At 39.4% G+C, this 15,431-nt stretch overlaps 1 protein-coding gene and 1 pseudogene across 1 annotated transcript in view; both read right to left on the bottom strand.

Moving 5' to 3' along the window:
- IL1RAPL2 (interleukin 1 receptor accessory protein like 2) overlaps window positions 1-15,431 on the bottom strand; it is a 1,201,631-nt gene that overhangs the window by 962,859 nt on the left and 223,341 nt on the right. The window lies entirely within an intron of this gene.
- On the bottom strand, window positions 474-1,102 carry RPL18AP14 (ribosomal protein L18a pseudogene 14; annotated as a pseudogene).

Raw genomic sequence — 15,431 nt, 5'->3', positions numbered from 1 at the left:
CTGTGCCATTCATTTGTCAAATAATAATGTTTTGTCTCATGACACCTCTTCTATTATTGCCTTGAACTATTTATCTCCTGTGTTACCTAATTTTTCAGATCTTGTCACTCCAACTAGAATTTAAGTTTGAAAGAAGAAAACCCAATTTAATAGATCATCATGTCTCCCACAGTGCTTTGCACAAGGTCTTAAATAGAGTGGTTGCTTAATGAATACTTGACTTATTGTAAAGGGAGGAAAGCAGAATAATCTTGAACATATCCTAAATTTACCACTCATCATCAGAGCCTCCTGTGAAATAAAGTTTGTTCACTGTCTCCTCCTGATTATGTCAGGATCATCAAAAAGAGTCTTTGAGTTCCTTCTCTGTGTCCACAACAATAAAGACTATTGTGGTATACTAACGTTATCAGATGTCCCACATGGTATCAACTCTTTGCATATTTCAACACCATGTCCTGGGCATTTTCTTTAGCGCCTGGGAGTTTTTGGGCTTATTTGGGCAGACCAGGAGTGAGAGGGCCCTGCACCTAAAAGAAGGTGTTGGGCTGGGCATCTTGGTGGTGAAGTGTGGCTTGTGTTGACAATGCAGGATGCGGTGGGACAGCACAAACTTGATCTTGGAGTTGTGGAACTGTTTGATTGCTGGCACCTGCTGGCCAAGATCCCTTCTACCTTCACAATCTGGATCCAGTGGGCCCAACCACATTGCTGGGCACCCATTTCTCTGTAGTACTGGGTGACAGCACCCCCAGTGGCTGAGTCCAGGTATTCCTGGTACATGTTGTGGGTGCCACTGCATGAGTTGTGGTGCAGCCACAAGCTGAAGTTCTTCACCTGCAGGCAGAATTGCTCAAATACCTACCCACACAAGACAATTTCCCCCAAAGACTTCTTCATCTTCTTTAGCTGAGATACAAAGTACCAGAAGCGGGACTTGGCAATGACATGATTAAGTGCAAAGATTTGCATGTGGTAGAGGGGAAGCATGTAGCATTTGGGAGTGGGCAGGTAGTGCCCTGCCACCTTTTACTCTTGCAGCGTGCCAGAGGCCTTTGTGGCACTCTATCTGCACTCACTGCAGCCTACAAAAGGCCATGTCGTGTTTTTACTGATTAAATTATCAAGGATCTCAAAGATAAGTCTAGGTAATCCTTGCTAAAAACTGCTGATTGCAACAAGGCTGGACCAAACAGTCTGCATCCCCAAAGTTGTCTAACAAGCGTCAGGCACCCTGATGAAATCAGGAAGAATGGATAAACTATGGTGTCATGCTCTAGCAGCATCATAAAGTTATCTTCAGACTGATTGGCCTGGGGAAACAGCAACCTAATGCTTCAGCACGATGGAGAACAACATTTCTTACAAAAGATGGAGAGCTTGAACTGAATGAAAAGTCAGAATGAGCAAAGGGAATTTCTTCCACTTAGAAACACCTCAAATGTTGACTTTAAGAGTGGGAAAAATATGTTCCTGCCCAGACAAATCTTAGCTGTCATTGTGCACAATCGTAAGCTCTAAGTAGTGAGAAGCTGGCACCTATTCCAATAGAGCCTGGCAGAGAAGATCTTAATCAAAGGTGATCCTTATCTGACTGATTGTTCTGGATGTTTAGAAGGTGATTCATTGCCAAACTGAGCACAGACATGTGTGGATATGAAGGTGGTTGTATTCACCTACACAAGAAATATTTGAAAATTAATACATTGTTCACAGGGTGGAGGTTTATAGTTCAGGCAGAAGAGTTGGTCCAGACGAAATTTTAGAGTTAGGGTAGGAAAGGAAAAGAAGATATCCTAACAGACTTACCTCCTGCAAGGACAGCTTGTTATGAACTTAATGAATCCATCACCTCGATTATTCTTTCCTTTCTTCCTCCCCAACAGCAGGCAACTCTTCCTATCCTCCTTCTTTATCCCAAGTGTTTGTAAATAATTCAATACCTTCTTATAGACACATTGAGAAGAATTAATGAGAGAATGTATGTGAAATAAGCAAACAGAAAGCTTGCTACTGTAAGTTTCCCCTAGCAACCTAATATACTGTGTGTAAAGATCTTTCACTGGGTAACCATGTTTTACGTGGCAGAATTCAGATTGACCCAGGTAGAAATGGGAGAGTTAGAACAGTCAAGCAGAAACACTTAGGGATTGATATTCTAGAGGACAGTGACTGTAAAGTCAAACTTTTGCCTAGCTGCTTTAATAGAAAATAAATGAATAACCTCACAAATTATTAAAATACAACAGATAATGGGAATGGCTAAGTAACTTATGCTGAATAAACAAGATGGAATATCAAACATTAAAAATTAGAAAATTGTACTATGAACAAACATAGAAAAATACTGCTGTGTTAGTTGAAAAAGCAAAATACAAAACTGTGCATACAGCGGCTGAAATGATTTAAAATTGTGCGGGCCGTCACACCAATGAAAACAATTATGTGAAATGGTGATAGTCATATAAAATTTATTAAATATATTATTTCATAGAAGTATTAACTACAAAAAAAGCGTACAAATCAGTTCTATCCAGTTTTACAATGCATATTTTAACTTTTCTTTGAAAGTGGACTGATTTTCTTTCTTCTTTTTTTTTTATTTGTTTTGTTTTTTTTTTTTTTTGAAATGTAGTCTTGTTCTGTCACCCAGGCTGGAGTGCAGTGGCGCAATCTCAGCTCACTGCAACCTCTGCCTCCTAGGTTCAAGCAATTCTCCTGCCTCAGCTTCCTGAGTAGCTGAGATTACAGTCATGTGCTACCATGCCCGGCTAAATTTTGTATTTTTAGTAGAGACAGGGTTTCACCAAGTTGGCCAGGCTGGTCTCGAACTCCTGACCTCAGGTGATCCGCCTGCCTCAGCCTCCCAAAGTGCTGGGATTACAGGGGTGAACCACCGCGCCTGGCCTTGGACTGATTTTTGTGATGCTGTTTTCCTTAGGCTGATGTTAATGAGTCTGCATTCTCTGAGCCCTTATTAAGGGATGGTAGGAAGGGTAGATATGAGTGCAAAATAATTCAGGAGTGTTTTGGGTTGCAGGGCGAAGCTATTTTGAGAAAAAATATTTGTTGTAAAATCTACTGGGTGGAAAATTTACAGACATGTTTTTAAATGGTTATAGAGATACATTTTTTAATGCCCTATATAGGAGTGGGTGGAAATAAAAATGGAAACATGGAAGAGAAACTATAAAGAAAGGCTTGGATAGCTGTGTTCTGAGTACCAATTACATGAAACTGAATTCAGCTATTCCTAGAAATAAAAACATGAAACACAATTGTTCCTTTCTCATCTAAATCAAGCCTAAACTGCTACCAAACCATATACTATTACCATAACCAAACTGTGTCAAATAATGAATGCAAACTTAAGCTTGCACTTCTAGACTAGGAAAATATATATAACTCCAACCCTATTTACAAATACTCATGTCATCTATGAAGCTCTGGCAAGATGTTATGAGTACCACTTGCCCTTTTTCTCTTACATAAATACAAATAAAAAAGCAAAACAAACAAAAAAAAAACAACAACAACTAAATGCTCAAGTCGATAAGGAAGCAGACTATTAGGAAGGCATGCAACATTTATCTGAATAGTGGATATAATTTAAGAGACTAGCCACGGTCCTCTTAATGACAACTTGCATTTACTCAGCACCTTATTCAGCAATACTTTTACTCAGTCTAAGTAGCAATCAGAGCCCAAACCCCTGAAGAAAATTATTCTATCAAAACAACTCTAAATTTCACTCCTGCCACCAATACTTTCCTATTTCAGGGGCTGTTTGCTGATCATTTTGAAGGGATTTGACTGAATAATGCAATTAGAATAAAGCAACAATGCATTTTTCCACTTTAGGCACCCAAGTCCTTCAGGAAGACACACTCTGCTATCCTAATGAATTCGCATAGTCCTTCTCTAAAGCTAGATACACTATTGGTGTGGCTGGTTGTTCACTTGAAATCCTTAGTCACCTAGGAACAGATTAGCTGGTTGGTAGATTCCCTGGACATCTTGGCATTATTGCCCCTGCTCTTCCCTGACTAATATCCTCCCACTGGCCCTGGGTTTCTCAGATTGCCCCCACTACAGCAGCCAGCCCTCCACATCATGCTCTCCTTAAGCAACACCCCATGCTCTAGAATGTCCTCTGTCTCCTTTGCTCATCAAAGCTGACCTGGCCTCCCCTCTTTCAGAGGCCTGCTCTCTGCTGGGGGATAGTGCATTAACAGACTATTCAGATAAACCAGTGCTTCACAACTTTTTAAAGTGTGAAGATTTTTCTTAAATATCAAAAAAGTTGGTCTTTTAATATCTGTTGATGAAAATGTACTACATAATGACAGAAAGTTATCATATCATTAGTCATACCTCTAAGTGAATTTGTATTTTACTAATTAAATCAGCATCTACATAGATTAGATTGGAAATGAATTGTACATCTATACATGCTACTTCTTATTAATTCTATCTTTGAGATTTTATTTTGGTATGCACACAGTGTCACTGATCTCTTGCAACAATTTTTGGAATATCACAGGCCTGAAGATTAGAGGTTTGCAATCACTAACATAAACCAGCTATTTCTTTAGTTTTTTTTTTAAATACCTGGCATGATAGGGTATGCTATACATATATAATCTTATTTATAGCCTCATGAGGGTGATTTCATTATCATCTCCCACTGTACAAGAAATAGAGCTCAGAGAAGTTACTTCACTTGAGCACAGTTACACAGCTAGTTATTAGGCAAAGTTGAGATTCAAACCCAAGTCTAATTACAATGTCCCTGTACTTAATCCCCAAGCCATATTGCCTGTCACTAAGTATTCTTGTAGTAAATAAGCTTCAATTTACCATTTCCTTAATCAAGTTAAATAGCACATAAAGTCTTTCAGGTATGATGTGAATGGTGGTGGGGGTGGCTATAAGCCATTGGGGGAATTAATTGGAGGTAAATCCCTGAAATCACATTTGCATGCCAAACTACTTAGGTTCAAGAATACGATCAAGACACAGTACAGTGAAACTGCTCTTAAAAAATCACTTGGATAAGTTAAGTGATCTATTGCACTTCATGGTGACCACAGTTAATAATAATATATATTTCCAAATAGCTGAAAGAATAGATTTTTAACATCCTTGCCCTGAAAAAATGATAAGTTGGTGAGGTGATGGATATGTTAATTAGCTTGACTGAATCTTTCTTCAGTGTATAGATAGATCAAAACATCACATTGTACCCCATAAATATACACAATTATTGTCAATTAAAAATAATTTAAAAATCACTTGGAGATATACATGTTTAGGTGATGTTTTAAATAAGTCAAAATGGAAACATTTAGTTCTGTTTTAATAAACAGTGAGTTGCTCAAGAGAAAACCAGTTTCTAAGAAGAGTTGGTTAATTGAGTGGTAACAGGAGATCAATGGTTCTCGAAATGTGGTCTCTGGACCATCACCTGGGAATTTGTCAGGAATACAAATTCACTGCTCCTCCCCCTGCCAAGCTCCATAACCTCCTAAGTCAGAAGTTCTAGGGATGGGTCCCAGCAATCCAGGTTTTCACAAGGCCTCCAGGTAATTCTGATACACATTGATGCTCATTGGAGAACCATCAAACTAGACAGCTATTTACCAAAGTGGCAGAGCCGGGAGGAGGCAATGAGCATACTAACAATAAAGGCAAGATTCTGGTTGGAGGAAGGCTAATCCAGGCGCAGCAAGACTAGTATAATAAAATAAGTAATAGCACATAATACCATTAATTATTCATCAAACCAGGTCATATAGACCTGGGTTTGAGACTTAGCTTGCTAGCTGTGTAATCTTAGGCGAGTAACTTAACTTCTCCGAACCTCAGTTCTCTCATCTGTAAAATGAGGATAACAACAGTACCTCCTTCATAGAGTTGCCATGAGGATTAAATAAGTTGATCCATGTAAAATACTTAGAACATATATATAATAATAAATGTATGATAAAATTAAGTTATAATTAGTTGGATGTCATATTTCTTCAGTTGTAGACAGCTTAGTCTAGAGGCATGTGGACATGTTTTCATTATGTCCACAAAATAAGGCTTTAAGCCACCCCTCCAGAGCAATGAAAAAGGAATGGATAGGGACCTAGTGATATTAGGAGGGACAATTAAAGGTACCCATCTGAGGGACATTGTATTTATAAGCACCCAAGCAAGTGGCTTAAAGAGGTGGCCTCAAGGAACAGCAGTGAAAGAAGATGGAAATGGGCTTGAAACTTAGTAAGTGGGCAAAAAAATGAGCTTGTAAATTTTTTTTTGAGACGGAGTCTCTCTCTGTCACCCAGGCTGGAGTGCAGTGGCACGATCTCGGCTCACTGCAAGCTCCGCCTCCCGGGTTCACACCATTCTCCTGCCTCAGCCTCCCGAGTAGCTGGGACTACAGGCACCTGCCACCACGCCTGGCTAATTTTTTTTTTTTTTTTATTTTTAGTAGAGACAGGGTTTCACTGTGTTAGCCAGGATGGTCTCCATCTCCTGACCTTGTGATCCGCCCGCCTCGGCCTCCCAAAGTGCTGGGATTACAGGCATGAGCCACAGCAACTGGCCTATCAGCTTGTAAATGTAAACAGGACCATGCTTGTGATCCTTAGGGCACTTTAAATTGAACCAGCTGTTCTCTAGGTTGCTGATACCTATAATTATACTTAGACTGACTCTGGCGATGCAGGTGGAGCCCCCCTTAACCAAAAGACAGCCTCCTGAATGCCTTAGAGTCTTAGCTGATACATTATTCAGATACAGAATTTTGAGATTTCTTGAAATGCCATTTTCCACTTAGAAAACAGAGTCTGACTTTAAATATTTTAAATCTAAATCATCGACTCTGGAGTTGAACAGACCGAAATTCATATCCCAGATCTGCCTCTTACTAGGTCTGCGGCCTTGGGTGATTTACATAATCTCTAGCTCTCAGTTCCCTGGGCTCTAAAATGAAGACTCATTCAATCTATCTTGCTGGGTCATTTTTATGCCTAGAAGTAACAAGAGAAAGCGCTTAGCACAGTGGCTGGCCCATACTGAGCGTGCAATAAGTGTGGACCGCTTTCATTGTTTGCCTATCTCATAATGAAGATGTTGTTGAATCACTGTAACATTTTAATAGTTTTTTGGACAGAAAACATCACCGCCCTGATTCTATCTTTGTCTTAGCACAGCAATTTTAATTTTGGAGAAGGCTAACCAGCAATACTGAATTCTCTAACTTGAGGCTTTGTTGTCTGGCATAGCAATCTGAACTATGCAGGTATTTGAGAATGAATCTACCTCTTAAAGGCCTTAAAGGGTAATAGTGATTGGTATTATATGAAAAGGGGGCTTCCAAAAGGAAATAAGTTTATGAAATGCTAGATTAAACAAAGTTAAACAGATTCCTTTACTGTTAAACTGCTCAAAGCTTTTGGTATCCTAACATGCACAACACATTTCCTAGAGGGAATCATAGCATGAATCATTTCCCAATTTATTTGACCATAGAAGCCCTTTTCTGAAAACAAACAAAAAACACCTAGAGATTAGTATTGCCCAGAACACACTTTAAAAATACTGTTCTTATCATTCCAACCATTCTTTCAGTAGCACAGAGGGAAATCAAAAGAGGCAGCGCTCCCACAAATCAGATATCTCCCTTTGTCACGTAGATTAAATTGCCTCGTACCAAATCACAGAGAAGTACAAACTCTTCCAGACATACTGTAATTCTGTCATAGCAAACATTACTTTGCGGGGGGGGGGGGGGGGCTGAAGAGATCATTACAACTTAGGTAGCAGGATTTGCTAAATGGTACTTGGTCTTTTGGAGAGATAAAGGATTTTAAGTTATCTGTAGGGGAGAGAAGAAATGGGAAGAACAATGCCAGACGTGGTGGCTCACACCTATTAATCCCAGCACTTTGGGAGGCCGAGGCGGGCGGGATCACCTGAGGTCAGGAGTTCAAGACCAACTTGACCAAAATGGTGAAACCCCATCTTTACAAAAAATACAAAATTTAGCTGGGGGTGGTGGCAGGTGCCTGTACTCTCAGCTACTCAGGGGGCTGAGGTAGGAGAATCACTTGAACCTGGGAGGTGGAGGTTGCAGTGAGCTGAGATCATGCCATTGCACTCTAGCCTGGGCAACAAGAGCGAAACTCCATCTCAAAACAAACAAACAAACAAACAAAAAAAGAACCAAAAAACACTCTTTTCCCTTAGGCTTTTGCATTCCTGGCTTTACCCTAACCCAGGAATTTCTTTGTGAGGACTTCTTCCCCTTGTTGTCTCTTTTTGCATAGCAGTGCTAGCTTAGGACTGGCAAAGGAGTCACCAAAGCTGGGTTCAGATATCAACCATTTTTACTGAAAGAATGGGAGTACCATTTTCCCCATCACCGCACAATGCATAGATTAGGGGTGCAGGAACTTTCTTTACCCTTTGGGCCAGCCCATGAATGTTTGTTTTCCCTTCAGCCACTTGAGCCCTTCCAGAAAGGTCCAGAGTCTCTCTACCACCGCCAACCCTCCTGTTTTGTATTATTACCTACTTTTTCCTCATAGCGTCTCATATCCATTGTCTCCTTAGGGAGACAATGCCAAAGAACTTGCTCCTGAAGAGCTCCAAAAATATTTAACAATAATGATACCTGACAATACCTTTAGTTTGTATGTCTCTTTTGTTTACATCTTTCAACAGGTTTTAAAACACCCCATTTTTATGTTGCATTCTTACAATATCTCTGTGAAACAGCTAGGGCAGATGTAGTTACACCCTCATTTTATAGACAGAGAAAATAAAACAAAAAAGTGAAACAAGTTTCTCAAGGTTAGTCAGTTAATGTCAGGGATGAAATTAGAACCATAGTCCACAAATTCCCAGCCTAATTCCTTGCAAATGCCACAAGGACTAGCCTTGTTCTCATGGAAGTGAGATCTATAGCTGAGCTTAGCATAACAGAGAGAAGTAGGAATTCAAAGACCTTCCCTGGCATGGTTCTCATACGGAGTAGACTTTTTCATTAGTCTTTTGTTGGGGATATCTGCCTGGATTTTGAACCTACTGTAGGAACTTCAGATTGTCATCTGTTTCAATACTATTTGTCCATATAAGTCAGTGAGGATCCTGAAGATGACATCCTTGTGTCTGGAAAGTCAAGGATTTAACAGTTTCCTTACAGACAGGAGCAACTTGTTCACACAAATTATTCATGCAGACCAAGTCCCAGCAGTAGGAGTAGAAGTGTATCTGAGTCCCCAGTGTAACAAAAATAATTTTACGGCAAACTTATACATACCTCATCACCTAAGGAGGGAATTTACACTCCAGGAGGGATTCAAATAACAGAATATTTCCTCAAGGTGGGGTCCTAAAAAGCTACAGTTGCCCCCTTTTCTAACAACTTGATCCATCACTTTTTATTGCTAATGTTTATACATTATGAAAGGAAAAAAAGACACATAAAAATAGCTTGAGATTTTGAGGAATTGAGATTTGCAGATCAAGAAAATGAAGCTGAAGTTAAAAAAAAAAAAGGAAGGGAGAGAGGGATAGAAGTCTTGCTTCAAAGATTATTTTTCCTTCATGAAAACAAATGGTTTCTTCTCAGCTCCACTCTGCTGAAACTGAATCTTTCCTCAGAGTTGACTTGCTCCTAAATCTAGTGCTGAGATCAAATTAAACCTGCTTTTACCCAATTCCATCAGCTCAGAATATGTGCTATGCAGCTCTGATGTTAGCCAGTCTGAGAAGGCATAAAGGCACAAAGGAGCATATTTTCCCCTCTACCCACCATTCTCCAGGCCAGAATGCTGAACCATTTGACTCCAAAGATGGGAACTTGGCTTCCAAATCTTCTTCTGTAAACCACTTTATACTTTCCTATGAGGTAGGTTTATTTGGAAAGACTGGTGGGAAAATAAAGGCCATGTTTTTATCAAGCCCCAGAGCTATTCCACACTCAGCAACATTTGGAGGTTCATAAAAAATGGCCCCACAGCAAAGCCTAATAATTAATACACATATTGTATATGCTGAAAACCTGAATAAAGAGGAAGGGGAACATGGTTACAGAGAAACTACTCTAATGCAAGTAAAAGCATCTCACTTCAAGTCCCTTCACCTGTTTTAAGCTATAAGGGAAAGCATGCATTAACTGTTACTACTGGGAAAATCTTTTGTACTATCAACGCTTCCATCCACCTAATTCCCTCATGAAATACTACTTACAAATAGGCACATATTTATGGAAACATAAAATTTTGATATCAAGGACAGCATAAATCCCTCCACACGTATCAAAACATAGCTTGTTCTTTTGAAAACTGTTCTCCAACTAAGTTCACCTATTTCCATAATATCATGTACCAAAATCTGTATCCCCAAGGTGTAGGCATCTACATATTTACCATTATTATGAACTCCACCACCTATCTTCCTCCCTGAGGAGTCACTGTGGAATAGGAAATCAACAAAGTGAGTTAGTGGTAGATGTAGGGGCACTGCTTATCTAATTAACCACCAAACTGGTAGAAAAAAAAAATGAATCAGAAAGGGAGAGTTAGAGCAAAAAGAGAATACTGAAGTCTGCTCCCAAAAGCCACTATCTTGTCATCACAAGAAGTTTACTTCTTGATCCCTCCCTCCTCCGACCTCCAGCACCACTTAAATGCTTGCCATACTTGCAACATGTCTGTATCATAGTGCGTTATTCTCTGAAGATACCAGGCACTTCCATGTGACCTCCTGTACAGAGCTGCAAACTCCTGAAAAGTACAGAATGTTTCTGTATGCTTTCACATATCCCCTATGCTACATGAGAAGTGGGCAGTAAACACTTGGTAATATCATATTCCTCCTCTAATACTTTTTGAGCTTGTAAAGAAGTTAATACATTCATCCTTGGTAGAACTTTACCAGACACAGTTGGAATTCAGGTGAGTTAGTCAATGGCTGATGACCCATCAAGAATTTTACAGAGTCCCTGAAATATTTTTCAGTACTGAAACCAAGTAGCAGCTCCAAGACAAATCCCCATGTTGTTGATTAGTGGTAGCAGGAGGGGTGGCCAAGAACACCAAACTGTAAAACAGTAGATTTACCTCAGAGTTACGGTGGTACCATTAACCAGTAAGGTGCTCATGGTAAGTTACTGACACTGAGTTTCCACATCTTTATAATGGTGATGGTGCAGGAGGATAATTAATAGGTGTTGTTTCGAAAATCCAAATATAGGATATTACTTTACCTCTACTCCAATTCACTAGAAACCCACTGATCTAATATACGTTGTCACTAAGAGATTCTGGTTAGAAAAACTATAATTTCTATCATCCAACTGTGCCACCTACCCAAATAGCAGTCAGAGAACCTAAATAGCAATTAATTTGCTTCCATAAGTGAGGTCTTGCAAATACAACCCAATTATCATGAGAAAAACACATCATCAACAACAAACATTGCTTGTATACTTTGAGTAGACTACAAATAGGTACATGATTTCCACCTTGATCCACTTTCCTTTCTCTACAGAACACTTATTTATTCAATAATTATATCCTAAACATATATGGTGTTCCAGGTCCCATGCTATCCACTGGTGATATAATGGTGAAGAGGAATGACATGCACCCTGCCCTTGTTCTTCTTAACTTAGAATCTAGAGGCAGAAAAGCAGATTCTCAGCCTCTCAATGGGCTTATGGAGAAAATATACCACTTAGTTCACTCCCAACTTGAATTATGAACAAGAAAATCAAATTGAAATATGAAAACAATGGCAGTCTACTGCCTGAGCCACAAAAGAAGCCCATATATGACCTTAACTGCTGGACCAACAGAATTCTTGAGTGGCCATTCTTGTCGTGACCTCAGTTCCCCAGCTGGAAAATGTTAAGTGTAAAATATAACCTCCAATCATTCTGAATAAAGAACTGAAGTCTTAACACCAACATTTAATGGGACAATGAGCTTTCAAACTTTTAATAAATTTTGACCAAGAGAAATAATACAAGACAGCTTAGTAATAGTTACTTTCTGGTCTTGCTTCTTTTGGGTATTTATTTCTTTATCAATGGATGGAAATCCATTTTAAAAGCCCCTAATACTATAAATATCTTAAGAATTTTTTTTCCTTTCTCTTTGCAGGATTTTGGAGTTATCCTTTAAATAAATTCAAATAAAATGAAGATTCAGCAATCTGATTACTGTGACCAGGCCCAAAATCATCAGTTTTATTCTAATAACTGCAGGACTCTTTGCTGAACCTCCACAACTGTCAGCCACCCTTTGTTTATATGGCTACACTTATCCCCTTTTCAATCCCATGATCTACTTTATATGCATTTTTGCTTTGTCTCTTCTAGTACACAACTAAAAATGGCTATGAAAGTGCTCTGAAAGCCATAAATGCTATAACAATATTAGTGATATGTTCCCTTACTCTATATTTCTCAGAGTCTTCAATGCACATTGTGGCTTCCTTAGACAGGGCGGCATTTCCCAAACTTATTTGACCTCAGAATCCTCTTCCTCATGCCCCGATCTCCACCCAGAGTATATTGAGGGACTTGTGTTAAGTGGAATACACTTTGGGAAACCTTACTAGACAGTGAAGCGATCTGGGGTCTATCCTGCCCTTGCTACTAATTAGATATGTTACTTTGGGGAAAAATCACATAATATCGTTGTGCCCCAATCATTTTTATAAAAATGAGACACTTGAATCATCTTACTAGAGTAAGATCTGCTACTTATGAAGTAGCAGAGCATGTGAATAACTTTCTGTTAGGCTAGTCCCTTCCTCTTTCTGAACCTCAGTTTCCTCCCCTCTAAAAGAGGCAATAGTTCTAAAGTAAAGGTTTGAGTAAAATCTCAAAGATACTATGATAAGCTGTCTTCTAGGACCATAGGGGCCTTCCTAATTGTTCTCACTTGATAGACTATATGAAGCAACTCACCTTCTTAGCATCCACAGAACAATTTCTAGCAACAGCAGACCAATAACAGATCAAGTAGCCCCGAAAAGGCATAAAAAAATAAAAAATAAGAGTGGTCCAGGAGAAGAAAACCCAAAGTCAAATCAGTTAGGAACTGTTTAAAGTAGAGATAGGGTTCTTAACACTCAAATACATTAGTTCTATGGTCTCTTTTAGAGGGGAGGAAACTGAGGTTCAGTAAGAGGAAGGGAGTAGCCTAAGGTCACACAGAAAGTTATTCACATGTTCTGCTACTTCATACAAAATTATTCTGGAATATAATAAGAGACTTTCAATTCTCTCTCCATCACTGCATTTATGAACATTTATCTATACCCACTCTAGTTTAATGCTGGGAAACTAAGGGAGCACCTCATTTGACAAAGATCATCATTTCTCCTGGTGTTCTGATTCTGAGTAGAAATCAGAGCCACAGAGGGACACTCCTTGCCATGGGTATATGTGTGTGTTTGCACACAAACATAAGTGTATCTATATCTGTTGCTATTTTCCCTCTCATTGTTGGTTCAAATTCAGCTCACAAAGCCCAGCACTGGAGAGGAAGTTCTGTTCTGCTCATTTAGGAACGAAAATAATGCAAGGACATCTTTGCCCAGAACTCCTAAATTTAAAGATTCACAGCTGCTTGGGACTCCTCTGGCTCTCTGCTTATCCACTAGGCTGCTACTTCTTCCTTCATTGGTTGTTTCTCCCTGGGCCTTGAGGTAAACAGATGGGGGAGGGGTGGGGGTGGAGAGAGGAGGGAGAGGGAAGGGAAGGGCAGGGAAGGGAAGGGCAGGGCAAGGCAGGGCAGGCAAGGCAGAGGGAGAGAGAGAGAAGCTATTTCTTTCTCCTATACCAAAGCCTGATCAACCTTCTGGTTCAGTCTCATGACTAGCTGTGTAGCCTTTCTAAACCTCAGTTTCCCTGACTGTAAAATGGGAATGCTAGTAGTACCCATCTCATAGGGTTGTTATGAGGATGATATGAGTTAATATTTACAAAGTACTTAGAGCAGTGACTGGCACGTGGTCATTATGCAATAAATTGTGACCATGGGCTTCCTTCTGTACTTTCACACAGTGGTGCTGGAGTGGAAATCAGCACTGTCTTGTGGAGGATCACTTTTATATAGGAATCACAAGTTCCTAAAATGTGAATTACATTTCTAGAAATTTCTCCTAATAAACCACTGTGAAAAAGGTAACAGGAAGAGACAAAAGGAGATATACCAAAATGTTAACAGATGTTATCTCTGATATGAGGGGGAAAATTATAATAGGTGATTTTTATGGTTTCTTTATACTTTTCTGTACTGCTTGAAGGTTTTTTTTGAGTGAACACATATTACTTTTATAATAACAAAAAATAAAAAGCAGTTTTCTTTGTGAAAAAAAAAAATGTTTCACAAATCCATCCATTCCCCAAATTACCTGTCCCAGTAATTTTCTTGTAACCATTCACCATTCTGGGAGAAAATGGCAGAACCCACTCTATAAGGCTGGCTTCTGCTTATCGCAACAAAATTCTTGTAGTGGTTCTCGTCACCCTTCATGCTCTTTGGTCTCTCTTTAAAAAGGAGGGTGAGGGCGTGAAGAACAAAAAGACACCAAGTTGAAAAATGACTACATTGAGCCAATGGCACAGACCAAAGCATTCCAGAAAAACAGCCATGCAGATGAATACTCTATCACAAATAGAGACTCTCTCCCAGCATCCATCTTTTTCTTCCCCTCACCCAAACTGCTCCCTGGCTAAGTTAATATCCCAGCATCAGCATTAACTCTCCTAGCTTTGGTCAGGTTGTGTCACAACCCTAGATTTATTTAAACAAAAATTTTTTTGTATTTATTATTGAATTACAGCTTGATAAGGGAGACCAATGCATGCATGCAGCACCATAAAAATTCTGCAGAGTGCCAGCTTCCCCAGCCTGTTGTGTCCTTCAGACAGCAGTGACAAATCAAGCAGTCTGTGGACAGCTCCTCCTGGTGACATGAGTTACCTCACCAACTAGGGCTTATTACAAAACACAAACCATTGCACTGGGCTGGAACAGAAGGCAATTTTCAATTCATTTATAGCCCATGCCACTCACTTGTTTAACCTCAGCTCTTAAGGGGATGGCCTTGCAAATACAACCCCTCTTGGCCATATAAATTAGTAACTGTTAAAGATAAGCTCATAGCCAGTGAATTTTGGATATTTCAGCTCAGTTTGTTTTTAATTGAAACTAGAATTTCTTACTTCAAATTTACATGCAGTTCTTAAAAATGAGATTACCACAGTCATATGCCAAAGTCACATGGCAATTCATGAGGCATATTTCTCCCTTATGGTAACAATTTGGATATTTAGCAAATAATAGAAGAATGTAGCTTGAGTGGTTATATTTTCTCACATTTCATTCCAGAAGTCAACAGTCTAACTATCAATTGGT

Source organism: Homo sapiens, chromosome X, assembly GCF_000001405.40.
Source record: "Homo sapiens chromosome X, GRCh38.p14 Primary Assembly".
Taxonomy (NCBI): Eukaryota; Metazoa; Chordata; class Mammalia; order Primates; family Hominidae; genus Homo; species Homo sapiens.
Note: the sequence above shows the minus strand (reverse complement) of the source record. Positions and strands in the feature narration are given on the sequence as shown.